The following is a 17,258-nucleotide window of genomic DNA, read 5'->3' as shown; positions in this document are numbered from 1 at the left end:
TTTATGAATAAAAAGAATTTTTCCCACTTCTATCGACAATGTAAAGAACGTGATTCATCTAACAAGTATTTATATTCAGGGCTTATATTTGAGACTAGGCCCCAAGTAATCCAAGACCAGGCCCTATCATCAAAAAGCTTAGAGCACAGGCAGAGATGGGTAATCCATTCAATCTCTAATCATAATGCAAGGCGATAAACCTTATCCCATAAACAAAGGCACAAAGAAGGGTTGAGGGGGAAGGACTGAGGAAAGTCACAGAGACTTCAAGGAAGAGTAGGGTTTCAACTGAATACATGGGAGGGTGTGCAGTGGTTAGAGTAAGGGATGAGATGACAAGGCCTCAACACAGGTTGGGTGAGAAGTTGTATGCATGTATTTATTTATTTATTCTTGAGATGGAGTCTCACTCCGTCACCCAGGTTGGAGTGCAGTGATGCGATCTCGGCTCATTGCAACCTCTGCCTCTGGGTTCAAGCGATTCTACTCCCTCAGCCTCTGGAGTAGCTGGGATTACAGGCATGCGCCACCACGGCCAGCTTATTTTTGTATTTATAGTAGAGATGGGTTTTGCCATGCTGGCCAGGCTGGTCTTGAACTCCTGACCTCAGGTGATCCTCCCAAAGTACTGGCATTACAGGTGTGAGCCCACTGCGCCCGGCCCTAGTAGTAGTGTTCATTTAAAAAAGGCTAGGAGAGTAGATTGAAATTAGGTTCTGCAGAACCTTACATGTCAGACTAAGGAGTGCAGGAATCTTTCTAGTGACCAAGATTTCCCCAGCAAAGGAATGATATGATCACAGCTGTACCACGAGGAGTGTCTCTCTCTGATGGGGAGGTAATAATCAGATTTCTTAGAAATGTGGTGGTGATGAATCCAGGGACTGTCAGTAGAGGGACTCTCAGCTCTGTCCACTGGACTCCATACACAAGACTACCACCTGGTCCAGCCCCCATCTCTAACCCATTAAAGAGTGTGCCCTCTCTGCTCTTGAGAAAAGGGGACCCAGATAATTTTTATTTGGTCTTTTTTTTTCTTCTGGTAATAGTTGAGGCTGTGGTTTAAATAGGAAAATCAAGCTCTTTTGTGAAAAAGGAGAATACTGTTGTTTGTTTGGGAAGGGTATGAAGAGGTGTGTGGGCTGTAGCGAGAGACTTCAATCTGGTTTCTTCAAATCTTGTCTCACACCCTCATGCCATTCTTCACACTCAGGCTGGAGCAATCATTCTAACATGCAAAGATGATCCTATCATTTCCATAGTTCTTCACGCCCTTTGTAAAAAGTGTAATTTTCTTAATCTGGTTTATAGCTAAGTGGGTGAACGGTGACACCAGATAACCACAAAAAGAACTGGTTTGGTGGGAGAAGAAGCTACTATCTGTTAAGGGCCTAGCTATGATGTGCGCATCACCACCCTATAAAACGTACATATTCTACACCATTTAGACCTGCCTTGCCAAAGAGATATCACTATCTCCATTGAACAAATGATGATCCTAGGATGCAGACTATAGTGATTTGCCATGGACCCAGAACTAGTTAGATTAGGTAGAGCTGGGATTTGAACCCAGGTGTGAGTCCAAGTCTGTGAGTATTCCATCTGAACACACTGTCACCAAAACCCATTTGTTCTAAAAGGAATTCGGAGTGGGGAAATGAAACAGGGGCGGTCTTTGAGTAAGATGGGTCTTCACGTTTTATACCCATCTTTCTCCCCACCCAAAATCTTTTGTACCATGGTCTTGATTTGACCCCTGCCTTTAACCATCTAGATTTGGCATTCATCTTAACTACACCCCTACAATTTTTCATCAAATTTATGGTCATTATTTCCTCAAATACATTTTCTGTCCCAGTATCTGTCTGGGCTTCTGGTGACACTCCAATTGCACATACATTACACCACCTGCCATTCTCTCCCAATCACTGACGATCTGTTCATTCCATAACAATAGTTTTTCTCTATGTGCTACAGTTTGGAGAATTTCTACTGACCTGTCTTCAAATTCACTGACTGAAGCCCAAATGTGGCCGATAACCAATATCTGACATTCTATCCCAGTGGTCTGTGGAGGTAAAAGAGTTAAGAGATAGACGCAAATGCTGATGTACTTCATCGATACATTATAGTCTTATTTCAAGCACTGATTTCATATTCTAAATCACATTACAATGTTCCTTTGCCCTGTGCTCCATTCCAAGTATACCAGAAGTACAATCTGAAGTGCTTCTCAACTTCAACTCTCATGAAGTGACCCATTTTGTATGAGATCCAATGCACACTTTCAACATGATTCTGAGTGGTTTAAATCAAACCATTCTATCTAAAAATGCAGGTAATATTGACCTGCAAGTAAAGCAATAGTAATACCTAAATACTCTCTAGGAAGGACGTGTATCTGTGTTTTGCTAGTGTCACTTTTTATAAATTTACTTTTTAATTGACAAACACAATTTTATGGTGTAAAACGTGATGTATTGATATATATACACACTGTGGAATAAGTAAATTATGCTAAGTAACATACCTATCACCTTACACACTTAACACTGTTATGTGGTGAGAACATTTAAAATCTACTCTCTTAGCAATTTTCAAGTGTACAATGTATTATTATTAACTATAGTCACCAAGATCTCCAGAACTTATTCTTCAGGTCCAATTGAAACTTTGTACCCTTCGACCAACATCTCTCCAGCCCCTGGTAACCATCATTGTACTCTCTGCTTTGATGAGTTCGACTTTTCTAAACATTCCACATACAAGTGAGATCGCGCACTATTTGTTTTTCTATGCCTGGCTTATTTCATTTAGCATAATGTTCTCCAGGTTAATCAATACTGTTGCCAACGACAGGATTTCCTTCTTTCTTAAGACTGAATCGTATTCCATTGTGTATATATACCGCAGGTTTTAATCCATGCATCCACTGATGGACATTGTATCTTGTATGTTGTGAATAGTGCCTCAATGAACGTGAGAGTATGAATATCTCTGAGATAGTGATTTCATTGCCTTTAGATATGAAGAAGTAGAATTGTTGAATGATATAATAGTCTTGTTGTAAATTTTTTTACAAACCTCCACACTGTTTTCCATAATGGCTGTACCAATTTACAATCCCACCAACAGTGAGAGTCCTCACCAACACTTGCCATCTTTTGAATTTTTGATAATAGCCAAGCTAATGTGTCATTTAAAAGGGCTATTTAAATTCTCAAAACAGAGGGATAGAAAACCTTACAAAACTATGAAAATATGGCATTTGAGAAGGTCTATAAAGGCCTAAAGCTTTTTTTGTATTATTATTAAAAGTAGTTACGTTCAAAAGCCAAAAGTATTGAACTAGGAGGCAATAGCTTCCTAAGTGGTATTCCTGCTGCATCTCTCACCAACCTAAATATGCCATCTTCAACAGAGCACTCACGGTGGCTTTAAAAAAAAAAAAGTCACGTCATACCTCTGCCTTAAACCCTCTAGACTTCCTATAGTGTGCAAAATAAATGTTAAAGTCCCCACAATTACCCACGAATTACCTGTGAATTGCCCTTCATGATCTCGTAGTCTCTGACCTCAGCTGCTCCTCCTCCTCCCTTGCTGATTACACGCCAGCCACACAGGCCTCCGCCACTCCTGCCTCAGGGCCTTTGTACTTGCATTCCTTCTGCCTGGGACACTTTTTCCATAAATCTGTGCAAAACAACCTGTCTCAGGTATTTTTCCTTCATGACTTCTCTGACTATGTTATTTTAAATTACAACCCCTCAACCTAGCCTAGCATTTCCTATTCTCTTTCCCTGCTTTATTTTAATCAACAGCACTTATCATAATCTGACATGCCATATGCTTTACATATTTATCTCATTTTCTGTCCCACCCTACTGGAGTATAAGCTGCTAGAGATTTTTGTTTGTTTCCTGTTGCAATAAATAAACCATCTGATGAACATGTGAATAAATAATCTCAGTGCCAGGCCATTAACTAGTTCTGCCATTAACTAGTAGCCTGACCCTGGGGAAGTCAATGTCTCTGAGCCTTAGTTTTCTCATCTCAGAGTTAAGTGTAAAGAACAAATATATATATGTATATATACACATATATACATATATATATTTATAATATGTAGCTTAATATAGACATGGAAAAGCTGGGTGGTGCTGGTACAAGTGTTTAACAGCCTCTTCATTGCAAGGTAGATTAAAAATGTCTTACATGGGAGAAAAAATGGGGACAAAAACTTCAATACAGTTACCAAAACCTTCACAGCAATTGAAAAGCTGTTTGTCATTCAGTTGGTGCAGATGTCTGGTCATTTCTTATGCATCACTGCAGACCTATGTCTTGGCAGCAGGATAAAAGCATGCACTGGCTATTTGCTCGGGAAGGCGGCTCTCATTTTCTGCACGTGGGAAAGCAGAGCCCCACACAGACTCCATGCTATTGGGCTTTCCCCATCATGTGGCCATCCCACTGCATATCTGTACTGCAGAGCTGTCAGTGTGAGGCCTGGCCAAAGACACACCCGCCAGGCACAAGTTATTCAGCCAAGAGCAAGGAACGGGAAAGGGTTTCTGGGCTCATCTGTCCTCAGGTAGCTGTCACTTCCTGCTCCTAGTGTCATCACATTCCTGAAATTCCCCAGACGACCCTCCCCAGTCCTCCTCCCTTAATGTCCTTGTAAGATGAATCAAAACTCTTCCATGCTTCCCAATGTGAGTGCCCACTGCCACCCTGACAAAGGTCATATGCTGAGGAAACAGAATGCTGGTGAAAGAAAGGGTAATAAGAATGTCACCAAGCACTGAATCCATATAAGGGTGCTGGAAGAAAGATGGACGCAGGCTCCCACTAGAAACAGCTCCATCGTGACCTGACAAGTGGCAGAATTATGGAAATTAGGAAACTGGAAAAGGGTCATCACATAAAAACATGAATGCGATTCAAAGGACTTTTTAGGAGACAACAGGCATATGGCAAAAAAATAAAATAAAATTTCTTTTCCTAAGAAAACACAGTGCTGATTCACCCTGAGTAGGCTTGGTTCTGGAAGGCCACATCTGACTATGTGTTCACTCAGCTTATGCTAAGCATATTTTTGAAAGATTGTTTTGAGTTTCTTCATGGTAATGTCTACCATGATGTATCACTGATTATTTCCATATTATCATGAATGTTGGAATCCCAGCTGAAATCTGGAAGGATATAGGGTGGGACCTCCATCAGAAAGACATCCATCTGCAGGCACCACTGTTGCTCCCAAGGTCAGTGAGCTCAGCAAGGAAACTTGGTCTTGGTCAAATATAATTCTTTGTGTAAGTCTGGGACACTGATGACCCAGGAAGATGAAAAGTGTTTTTCCTAATAACACCTAGTGGTTATGGACATAGAATAATACAATGATCGTGGGCTTTTAAGACTCTGTACATAAGAATGTAGGGAAAGTTCACAGGTTCTTGCATCACTGTTCACACTACTTGGGCCTAAGGTATGCCAAGCTAAACGTCTGTTTCTCCACATGGTTCAACCATGTTGCTTCAACTGAATCCCACTTCTTAGGCTTTCAGTGGTAACATTTCCAGTTATTCCTGAAAAAAAAGAACTGGCACTGTTTGATTTTGATTGCCTACCAGGGGAAAACAAAAAACAAACAAACAAAAAAAAACCAAAAAGGTGTACATTGTACTGGACCTAACAAATATCTTTTTTTTTTTTTTTTTTTTTTGGAGACAGAGTCTCGATCTGTCGTCCAGGCTGAAGTGCAGTGGTGCGATCTTGGCTCACTGCAAGTTGTGCCTCCCGGGTTCACCCCATTCTCCTGCCTCAGCCTCCCAAGTAGCTGGGACTACAGGCGTCCGCCGCCACGCCCAGCTAATTTTTTGTATTTTTAGTAGAGACGGGGTTTCACCGTGTTAGCCAGGATGGTCTCAGTCTGACCTTGTGATCCACCCACCTCAGCCTCCCAAAGTGCTGGGATTACAGGTGTGAGCCACCGCACCCAGCCAAATTTCATTCATGGGAATTATTTTATTTTTATTTACCTTATTCATACACAACACTGTTCCAAAAAAGAATTTGAGACCACTTACAAAAATACATACACGAGATGTGTATGAGATTAAAAAAGAAGTGGGTCAGTAAATATCTCCCCTTCTTGAATCCCCAAAAATTTGGCAGTGATAACCACGAACAGTTTTACCTACACCTTCTGTGAGAACTGGAAGTATGGAAAATCCACTCTGGGGAGTGTCTTCTGCTACCCTCAAACTCATTCACGATATTAAGCAGAGGCGTGAAAAAGCGCTCCAGGTGAAATGGCCCAGCTGTTAATCTTCGCTATGGGCAGCATCCCTGAGCAGGCTTTGTAATTTCTTGACTGCTTCTCCATTTCTATCATTTCAACAGTTTGAAGGCATTGCACATCTAGAAGCAAGACCTCCTCCAACCCTCAGGCCCTCTCTGGAGTTGCTTTTTTAAACCTGAGCTACTGAGGGTCAGGACTCAAACCTGCACTGCAGCACATCCCCTGGTCACAAGATCTGGGGAAAGAACGAGAGAGAAGATCGCTGCTCCGTGGAGAGAGCTTTGCCTGAGAACCTGCCTTCTGCCACCTGACAGTGTGCCTGCTTCTTGCTTTACTCAAATCTGTTGCAGCAATCTGTACTGTGGCTCTATTTTCAAGTATTCACCCAACTGGTTACAAATTTCAATAATCTGGTTAAACGCCCAAGTGAAAATGGTCATTCCGTCAAATTAAGGCAGTTTCTATCCCTTGTTAAATGGCTTTTGACTTAAACAACTATCCATATATACACTGACACTTGGGAATACACGTTTAGAGCCATGCTCAGATACATGGAGCAAAATGGTACATAAGGAAAATCACCACTTATCCTGCTTTCTTCAGCAAACTGGATCTCACAGTAACCATACAGTTGATAAAGAGAAGTCTCTATTTATAGAAATATTTCAGCTCACAAATTTAAAAAATGCTAGAATTAGAATATCTTGCAGTTTCTAAGAAAATAATGGACTGAGGCAATGATCAGTAAGGGGATGCTAACTTCACCAAAAGAAAAGGAACCAGGGCCGGGCGCAGTGGCTCACACCTGTAATCCCAGCATTTTGGGAGGCTGAGACGGGTGGATCGCCTGAGTTCAGGAGTTAGACACCAGCCTGGCAACATGGTGAAACCCCATCCCTACTAAAAATACAAAAATTGGCTAGGTGTGGTGGTGCACGCCTATAATCCCAGCTACTCAGGAGGCTGAGGAAAAGAATCGCTTGAACCTGGGAGGCAGAGGTTGCAGTGAGCCAAGACCGCACCACTACACTCCAGCCTCGGCAACAGAGTGAGACTCTTTCTCAAAATAAATAAATAAATAAATAAATAAATAAATAAATAAATAAATAAATAGAAAAGGAACCGGGTGTTAAATGCCTCCTGAATGAAACACACCACCACTTACAGATGCTGATCAGCCCTCTCACTCTCGGTTTGTAGAAAATACAAGAGGACAAATGAACATGATCGTTCGGTCAAGACTAAAGGAAATAGGACAGGCTGAATTATTTAATTTCTTAAATAAATAGCAAGGGAAAGAGAGAAAGAAGGGTGAACTTACAGATGAAAAGAAACTATTTATATTAACCAATTGCAATGTATACGCGATCTGGCTCATGATTCAGATAAACAGTTTTAAAAAACATTTATGAGGCAACAGGGGAAATGGACTCACTGGAGATTTGATGATATTTAAAAAGTATTATTTTAGGTGTAAAAAATCCATCTTATCTTTTAGAGATATATACCAAAATATTCATGGATGAGTTGATAGGGCAGCTGAGATCTGCTTTAAATATGCTAGGATAGAAGAGGGGGAGGGAGTGGGGATGTAGACAAGGCACATTTAGCCATAACTGAGACCTGTGGAAGCTGAGCGAGCAAGGCTTCATTATACTAAGCTCTGTATTTTTGTTTGAAATCTTTCACAATTGCAAAGTAAAAAACAAATACCTTTTAAAACTCAACTGAGAGAAATGATATTGACAGAAAATCTTCTAGAAGACAGCTGGTCCATTGCTTGTTTTAGATACAACGCAATTAACTTCTGGGTTAAACCAGAGCCAGCAGACAAGCACGCTAGCACCTGCAGAGATGCAAGGACCAAATAGTCCCTTGTGGGGAGAGGGTCACGAGCCCAAAGAGAAGAGCAGTGTGGCAAACAGCCACGAGACTTGCGCGCCGCTCACTCCTAGGGTGCCATCAGCAGTGCTGCCTAAATGCCTTGTAGTACATATAGTGTCCTCCTAAGTACCCTTGAAAAATTTCTTTCTGGTTCCAGAATCCAAAATATGTGTGATTCCCCCAAACGTGTACATTTTTAGAATCAGTAAGTAAAACTGAAATCCATCGCCATTTCACACCCATTAGGATGGCTATAATTTTTAAAAATAAATAAATAACAAGGGTTGGCAAGGATACAGAGAAATTGGAACCCTTGTGGTTCGCTGGTGGGAATGTAAAAGTATAGCCGTTTTGGAAAATGATATGGCAGCTCCTCAAAAAATTAAACATGGAATTACCATATGCTCCAGCAATTCCATCTCTGGGTATACACCCAAAAGAATGGAAAGCAGGGACTTGAAGAGAGATCTGTACACTCAGGTTCATCGCAGCCTTATCCACAACAGCGAAAAGGTGGAAGCAACTCAAGTATTGATTGACAGGTGAATGGACAAACCAAATGTGGTCTATAGATACAATGGGATAAGAAGGAAATTTTCATACACAATACAACATGGATGAACTTTGAAGACATTATGCGAAGTAGAATAAGCCAGTCACAAAAGGGTAAATACTGCATGATTCTATCTATAGGAGGTCCCTAGAGTAGTCAAATTTAGACAGACAGGAAGTAGAATAGAGGTTACCAGGGGCTGGGGGAAGGAGGACTAGACGGTGTTTAGTGTCTATGGAGCTTCCCTTTGAGAAGATAAAATAATTCTGGAGCTAGATGGTGGTGATGGGTACAAAACAATGTGAAGGTACTTAACACCACTGGACCATACGCTTAAAAAATGGTTACAATGATAAATTTCATATTATGTATCTGTTACCACAATTTTTTAAAAATGAAGTCCATCATGCAACCAACTGATTTTTCTTCATGTTGCTGCTAGGAAACATAGAGCCAAATTTATGAGCAAGTTTTATAAATTATGTAAGATTATGACATGCATTCTTTGTGTATTTCATTTCACTTTCTTTTCCTTTGGCCTAATATTTACCTAATTCTAATGCATGTTAGTTGGCTGTGTCTTGCATATATTTTAATTTTCCTTTAATCCATTTTATAACAAGTCCCAAGATAAATGGCTGGGGAGAATGAGAACAAGAAAAATAATATTAGGTTTTATATTATCTGAATTTGATCCTTGATTGCTCCGTATTTTTCTTAAAAATGCTAGTTGGGTTAAATTTAATAATGAGTAACTTTTTTCCTTTTAGTTGTTCTCTATACCTATGTTTCTCTTCTTAAAAAAGTTAATTAACAGAGAAGTAATAGAAAATATTTGATTGTTTCTCCTGAACATCCTGTTGAATGTATTTTCTCTGTAGAAATTTAAGAAATGTCCGCCACATTTGTAAAATAAATCTTTCTCGTTGTCAAAACTTAAAGGAAAAAACGTCAGTCAAGTGGGTGGTTGCTGTACACTACTGCAAAAAGTGAAAAAATTAGCCACATCTGATTAGCTTTACAGTTGAGGCCAAAAGAGAAATATAGTATTTTCTGAGAGCTCTGTATTGACACAGAAGCAAACAACCAGTCTCACTTGGACACATGGTGAGAGTGAGCCTGATAGAGAGTTTAATAACATGGGCTTCTCAGTACCCAGCCAATATTAGGTGAGTTCTCAACTAATGCTGTCTGTTATCCTTCAAAATCCCTGAGTTACGGGACTCGTCTGGTGTTATGAAGGAGAGGTGATGGATCCCATAGAGCCTAGTGATGTTGGCGTCACTCTCCCGGGGACTTGATCACAGCTCACCCAGAGTGAGGAGAGCAGGTGGTCTGCCAGGGAGCACCTGTCCGGCTGGTCTGTCATCCCCATGCCAAGGGGCCAATGCATCATTTCCTGACACTCTGACAACAGTCCTAGGTGGCAAACAGTTTTCTTGTCATGTTACAGATGAGAGATGGGGCTTAAGAAGGCGGAAGAAACTTGTCTAGAGTCAACAAGGATTACAGGACTCCAGTGACCTTTGGGAATTCTGAATTCTTTACAGACTCCTCCATAACCTTTTTGTGGGAGGAGGGCTTCACTTTCTGGTTCTTACTTACAACCGAAATGGGAGAAGTTCATGGATAAGTGATCTCTATACAAGTAAAGTGTTATTATATGAAACATTCTCTAACTTACTCCCCTCTACAATGGATTCTGTGCCATCCTCCAACCTACAGTCCACCTTCCATACTCTAAACATATGAACCCACCCTCCTCTGTGACTCCATAATTTGTTCTTTTCTGGACCAGCCCAGGTCAACGTGGCTGCACCATCCCAGCCAATGCTTTCCAAACCAAAAGAGATTTTCAACACAGGTTTTCAAAGGTCTCTTTCTCCTTCTCTATATTATCTGACTTCTCTACACTCAAGAAGAAAACGAAAGTTGAAATCATGCACAAGATATATAAAATAAAATGCATCTTAAACTATGTCTCCAATGACCATTGCCCCCTCAAGTTGCTTCAAATTACCCAGGGAGGAAGGCCTATTTTTATCTCTCCAAGTGTTCTACCATTTAAGAAGTTTGCACCAGTTAGCAGCCTGCAGTTCTGACCATCTTGTGAATTTAGATTGTTTCGCTAATTATAAACACATTTCAATGTCATTCTTTCTGGCCTTTTTCCTGGAATGAGTGGCTGCCCCTCCAGAGTTCACAGAATGGGCTTCAGTAGTTTTCAGTCAAGATTCAGGGAGAAATACGCCACACCGGGACTCGGTTATTTACCAACATCATGCTGGATATGTGCCAGTGAGACACCAAGACACTTCCCTTTGAAGTCTGACATATTGCCGGCTGCTTCCAATGTTGTTTTCTTGGCTGGCAGACAAATAACCGGGGCTGATTCAAAACTCACCTCCCATTCATGTCAGACAGGAAACGATTTCTTGTGATTGGTTCATCTTACATTGATCTCACTCTCCTTGGAGGGGCCGAAGGTGAGTACCCCAGAGAGGGACAAGTCTCTGGGCTCCTGTCAGCCACGGGCCCCTGCTCCGGGACCTGTCCATTCACACAGCTGTTCAAAAAAAGGTCACGCGAACACTCGGCACCTTAGCTGTCAAAAGAGATGTGCCGTGCGACAAAAAACACATTTTCCTAAGTCCTCGGCTTGGCTTTTGCTCCCCACTCTTGTTTGAAGAATCTTCAGAGAATCTGACCCGGAAAACATGTTTTCCAGTGGTTTGAGGTCAGAGAGACATTGCCATCAGGCTACTAGGAGCCTAAAAACTCACGACAACCCAAAGAATTTGCAGAGGTACTTCTGCTGTTGCTGCTTGGTATCAATTTATCAACATTAAGGTTTCTCACTGCAGAATCTTACCTTTCACCAAAAAGCCTGGACGTGAGTTCCCAAATGGTACGGGTTCACACCTTCAGATCCAGCAATCCCACTGCTGAGTATGTACCCAAAAGAGAGGAAATCAGTGTATCGAAGAGACCTCTGCACTCCCAGGTTTGCTGCAGCAGTTATTCACAACAACCAAGATTTGGAAGCAACCTAAGTGTCCATCCACAGAAGAATGGCAAAGAAAATGTGGTACCTGGGGAGGCCGAGGCAGGCAGATCACGAGGTCAGGAGATCGAGACCATCCTGGCTAACATGGTGAAACCCCGTCTCTACTAAAAAGACAGAAAATTAGCCAGGCATGTTGGCACGCACCTGTCATCCCAGCTACTCGGGAAGCTGAGGCAGGAGAATTGCTTGAACTCAGGAGGCGGAGGTTGCAGTGAGCCGAGGTCGCGTCACTGCACTCCAGCCTGGGTGAGGGCAAGACTCTGTCTCAAAAAAAAAAAAAAAAAAAAAAAAGAAAGTGTGGTACATGTACACAATGGAGTACTCCTCAGCCATAAAACAGAATGAGACCCTGTCATAGTGCATAGTGCAACATAGTGTTGCAACAACACTATGTTAAGTGAAATAAGTCCAGCACAAAAAGACAAACATCACATGTTCTCACTTATTTGTGGGATCTAAAAATCAAAACAATTAAACTCATGGAGATGAGAGTAGAATGATGGTTACCAAAGGCTGGGAAGGGTAGGTAGTAGGGGTACAGGAGAAGGTGGGGATCGTTAATGGATGCAAAATATAATAGTGAGAAAGAATGAATGAGACCTAGCATTTGATAGTACAACAGGGTGACTATAGTTAGTAGTAATTTAATTGTATATTTAAAAATAACTAAGAGTATAATTGGATTGTTTGTAACATAAAGGATAAATGTTTGAGGGGACAGACACCCCATTTCCATGATGTGATTATTACATACTGCATGCCTATATCAAAACATCTCACATGCCCCATAAATATATATACCTACTATGTACCCACAAAACTTTTAAATTAAAAAATAAATAATGATGGGTTCAAAGAATTTTGACTTAGCAGAATGTTTTTTTAAATGTTTCAGTGTTCCAAAACAAAGTCAATTCTCAGTAATTGAGAACAAAGGGTTTTAAAGGCTACATAGCCCCACCTCCAAACTGGTTAAGGATGACCACTCTACCATCTGAATATCTCAAGTAATGGAGAATTCATTACCCTACATCCCTGGAAAGTATTAGTACAATATTAAAACTGCAACTGTAAAATCAGATCAATTCCCTCACTCTTATTGAAGTATCACAAACTAGGTTTTATGAATACGCATTAACTTTCAAACTGAAGTTATTCAGGAAGAACACAACAATATTTATTGAATATAATTTCCAAAGTTAGCGTAACTACTAGTGTGGATGTGACATTATATACAATCCAATCTATGTCATTGCAATTTTTTCCATTTGTTCACTTTGTCTATCCAAGTTCATTATTTTTCCATTTCTACTTAACTTGGTGTGTATTTATTATTCTTGGTGCAATACGTTATAATATACAACCTCGTTAAAGGGGGACATTATATCCTAATTGCCTAAAACCCTCCAGGTTTATCCCTCATTATTTCATTATTTCAGTATAATTGTTCACAGCACTCTTTTTACTCTCGAATGTATCCTAGTTTGGATGACAAATTTATGTTCAAAGATAGTAAAGTTTAAATTTTTTTTTTTTTTAGACAGAGTCTCGCTCTGTTACCTAGGCTGGAGTGCAGTGGCGCGATCTCGGCTCACTGCAACCTCCGCCTCCTGGGTTCAAGTAATTCTCCTGCCTCAGCCTCCCAAGTAGCTAGGATTAGAGGTGCATGCCACCATACCCAGCTAATATTTTATATAAAATATTTTTTAATTGTACCAAGAATCTTCACAAATTAAGCTTGGAATCCCCTGCCCTCCATTTTCCACCCTTTTAAATTAGTAAGCTTTGATTTTCTCGTGAAATTACCCATCTTCTTGACTATGGAGTATTTTTAAGGCAATGAGTAGCTGGTCTGTGCTGAGAACAAGCACTTCTGCAGAGGCTGGAACCCGGCCCTCCACGTGGACAGAGTGGACCGTGGCCAACGGAATGTCACTTTCATTAAGATATTGACGGCCAGAGAGAACCTTTCTAAGACAGGCCCAGCAGGGTGGCAAAAGATGTTCTCATACCTGAGGAAGCCTCGGCCATGTTTCTTTAATCTCTGGGTGCCTCAGTTTGTCTGCCTATAAAGGAGCACAATGATGCCCACTACACAGGGCGGGCGCTCTAAAGATCAAATGGGTGAGAGCCAAGGGGGCACTCACAGCTACCAGGAACAAAGACAGGAAGTAATTGCAAAATGTGTGGCTCCACTTTTCCAGCTTGCAAGCAGAGGGCTCCCACTGACTTGAAAGACAGCATCACACACAGGTAGGAGAAGCCCCCAAGGAGGACCAAGCCTATTACCTTCGTTCTCATTGTCCAAAAGGGCAGAGGAGAGGGAGAGCCACAGAGGAAGCTAAGAATGATGGGGGCAGAAAAACCAGAGAGAAAAGGAGACCAGGAGAAAAACTAACTGTTGGGCTACATAAGAAAATCTGTGAAGACTGTATGCCAGCGACAGTTTTTAAGGAATCATCTATCTATTCTCTGATCCCTTGATATGACCATTCATGCATTTTTCACACTGGAATGCCTTTATCCCACACTCTATCTGTCTTTCCTGACATTTCACATTCTAATCTAAAAGCTTCATGGAAGTTCAATGGTCATCTGTAGAGTGGATTACATTTCAAAGTTCTTATTTCGGTAGCATTCTAAAGGTAAGGTATATTCAAATGATTAACCAACAGATAACGACATTGTGGCCGGGTGCGATGACTCATGCCTGTAATCCCGGCATTTGGGGAGGCTAAAGTGGGCGGATCTCTTGAGGTTAGGAGTTCGAGACCAGCCTGGCCAACATGGAAAAACCCCATCTCTACTAAAAATAAAAAAAAAAAAGGTGAGCGTGGTGATGCACACCTGTAATCCCAGCTACTTGGGAGGCTGAGGCAGGAGAATCGCTTGAACTCGGGAAGTGGAGGTTGCAGTGAGCTCAGATCGTGCCAGTGCACTCCAGCATGGGCAACAGAGTAAGACACCATCTCAAAAAAAAAAAAAATGACATTATAATTAGTGATACTATTTTATCACAAAATATGAAGACCTCCAAGGCTGAAGAACGGGTCTAAACAATTACAAGTGCCATCACTGTTTTGATGAACTCACAGTCAAGGGAATGTAAGACATCCTCCTGTGCATTAATAATACATGCTACTGTGGTCAAATGGAAAAGCATGATAGCCGTAGGAGATCTTGCTCCAACCAGTATTCTCCCAGCAAAGGCTACTTCTCAAGACTCCTTCAGAGCACTCCGGGAAGGCATGCAAGTATACAAATCGATTTGCTAAATGGGCCTGGCTGCAGATCATACTTTTGTGTGTGGACCCAGCTGAAAGGTGTCCCTGAATCTATAAGGCCTTCCCATGGTTCCTTGAACCAGTGCAGAGAGAGTCAGGGAACATCACAACAAGAACATAGATTCCAGGTCAATTAGACTTGGGCTCAAACTGTAGCTCCACCAACCACCTCCTTGGCCAAGTGGCTCTGGATAAGTCACATGGCCTCGCTAGGAAGAGGAGTATATGAGTCCATCAGCTTTGCAAGAGGCTGGCAGGATGAAATGCCCAATGTATCCCAAAGAGTCAAGCACTGTGCTGAGTTGACCTTTCCATTGCAGTGATAAACAACCCAGAATGGCAGAAGTCCACCCTCAAAACCCCCCAAATCCCCTACTCTACCCTAGCCCAGGGCGACAAGTGATAGAAAGTGAGGATCATCTTGAAGACATTAATATAAAATGCTTGCATATACTTAACCAAAATAAGGCCTTAATTTAAGCATCTGGAAGAGCTAAACTGCACTTCTAAAGTAAGAATTCTTAGATGTCAAACATATTCTACTTTATCATCTGTAGAATTCTGCTTCTTATATGTTGTTAACTTGTAGAAATTATGCACATGATTCATCTCTTCTAAAACCACACATGCTGGCCATGCACAGTGGGCCTCCCAGGGGCTGCCCCCTGCTCCAAGAGCTTTCAGTCCTGAAGGCGTAAGAGGTAAAGGCCAAGGGCCTAGAGCTGCAGAGGCCTTAGAGTTCACCTGTCAGCCTCCTCATCGAAAAGCGGAGGCTTAGAGAGGGGAAGTTGCCCGCTGAAAGTGAAACAATGAGGGCCTTGGGGAAGAATGTTGAGGAAGCCGCTATAAACCAAATCTTTCCACTGCAACCCCCCACTGCAAAATAAAATAAAATAAAATAAAAAATAGAAAGAAAAGAAAAGAAAGACTTGCCACAGAGCCTCATTCCCTGTTATTTCGAATTCTGTAGTCAAACAATGTCATCAGCCCATCTGGTACTGAATCTGCCCTTCAAGAAAGAAGTTTTACTTCAATATCACAACAGAGGGAAACCCACTAATAATAGGTTAGTGTCATTTACTATTTCCCAATATGACATAAGACTTAGTTTCTCATATGCCTGGGGTTGGCGAATCTGAGAGACTGGAAAATAAATAAATAAATCATCAAAAGACCCCTTTGAACATTGATATATGTGACATTTGCTGTCCCATGATAACAGACACCATGCTGGGACAGGAAAGTTAGCAAATCAAACGTTTTAGCACATGGTTTAGAGAGGCCATTATGCCTTCTACAAAATCAACTTCTCCATTTAAATTTCTGGGCATAATGATTTCTCATCACTGATCAGTATGTTTTAAAAGGTGATAGCCTACACAGAGCATGATTTACCAACACTGAGGTGGAACTGGGTCCCTGTTTATGACTCTGCAGCTGCTAATCCTCACTGATGCCTAATTCTGGTTCCATCTCTGGGAATAAGGGAACAATCTAACTTCAGTGTGCTCATTTATAGACCAGGTTGTTCTGAGGCTAATTTCCAGTTCAAACGCAATTCAAGTCTTCAAAGCAGTTTTGTACCCTCAAAGGAGATTACCATCAAGACCAGAGCAGGAGAGAAGCTACGGGAGGCGTGAAATCAGGGGACCTCACATTTTTAGGATGAGAGACATCACAGAACCTGTCTAAACGTGGAGGTGAAGGAACCAAGGGAGGCAGCTGAATGCCCAGTTGAAATTCCAGAGCACAGAGGTCGTCATTTTCAGTGGGTAACACAGGGATGAACCCCAGAGCACTGCTAGAGAGAAGGGGAGGGGAGGTGGGAGATGGGCCCAACAGAAGAAGAGGTAAGGAAGGAAAGAATGGAGAAAAGAAGGCAGGCAAAGAAAGGGCCATGTGCAGAGATATTCTGAAGGAAGTTTAGATGACATGAGGCATGGAGGGAAGGAAACACAGATTAAAAAGGACCTCTTCACCAAACAGTTTGGAATTTTAACAGAGAAGTTCTGCTCAACCACATAATTGTACATTTTAAGTATATCACTCAGGGATTGGCCTTTGCTGAAAACATTTTTAATTAATGTTTTCTCTTAAGGAGCGTGCTTAATTCATGATGGAGAAGGAAGAGATCATTCAATTAGATTAATCTTTGTGTAATAATAA

General features: G+C 41.4%; 1 protein-coding gene across 9 annotated transcripts in view, besides 1 other annotated feature; it reads right to left on the bottom strand.

The window, feature by feature from the left end:
• The window catches only part of MSRA (methionine sulfoxide reductase A), a 374,600-nt gene that overhangs the window by 203,360 nt on the left and 153,982 nt on the right, over positions 1-17,258 (bottom strand). The window lies entirely within an intron of this gene.
• Positions 15,692-15,741: an enhancer, noted in NCBI's record as "active region_26989". NCBI's record gives its function as "activates an Ori minimal core promoter by ATAC-STARR-seq in GM12878 lymphoblastoid cells {active_cell/tissue: GM12878}" and the evidence as "EXISTENCE:reporter gene assay evidence [ECO:0000049][PMID:35858748]".

Source organism: Homo sapiens, chromosome 8 (assembly GCF_000001405.40).
Source record: "Homo sapiens chromosome 8, GRCh38.p14 Primary Assembly".
Taxonomy (NCBI): domain Eukaryota; kingdom Metazoa; phylum Chordata; class Mammalia; order Primates; family Hominidae; genus Homo; species Homo sapiens.
This window is presented reverse-complemented; position numbering and strand designations above follow the sequence as displayed.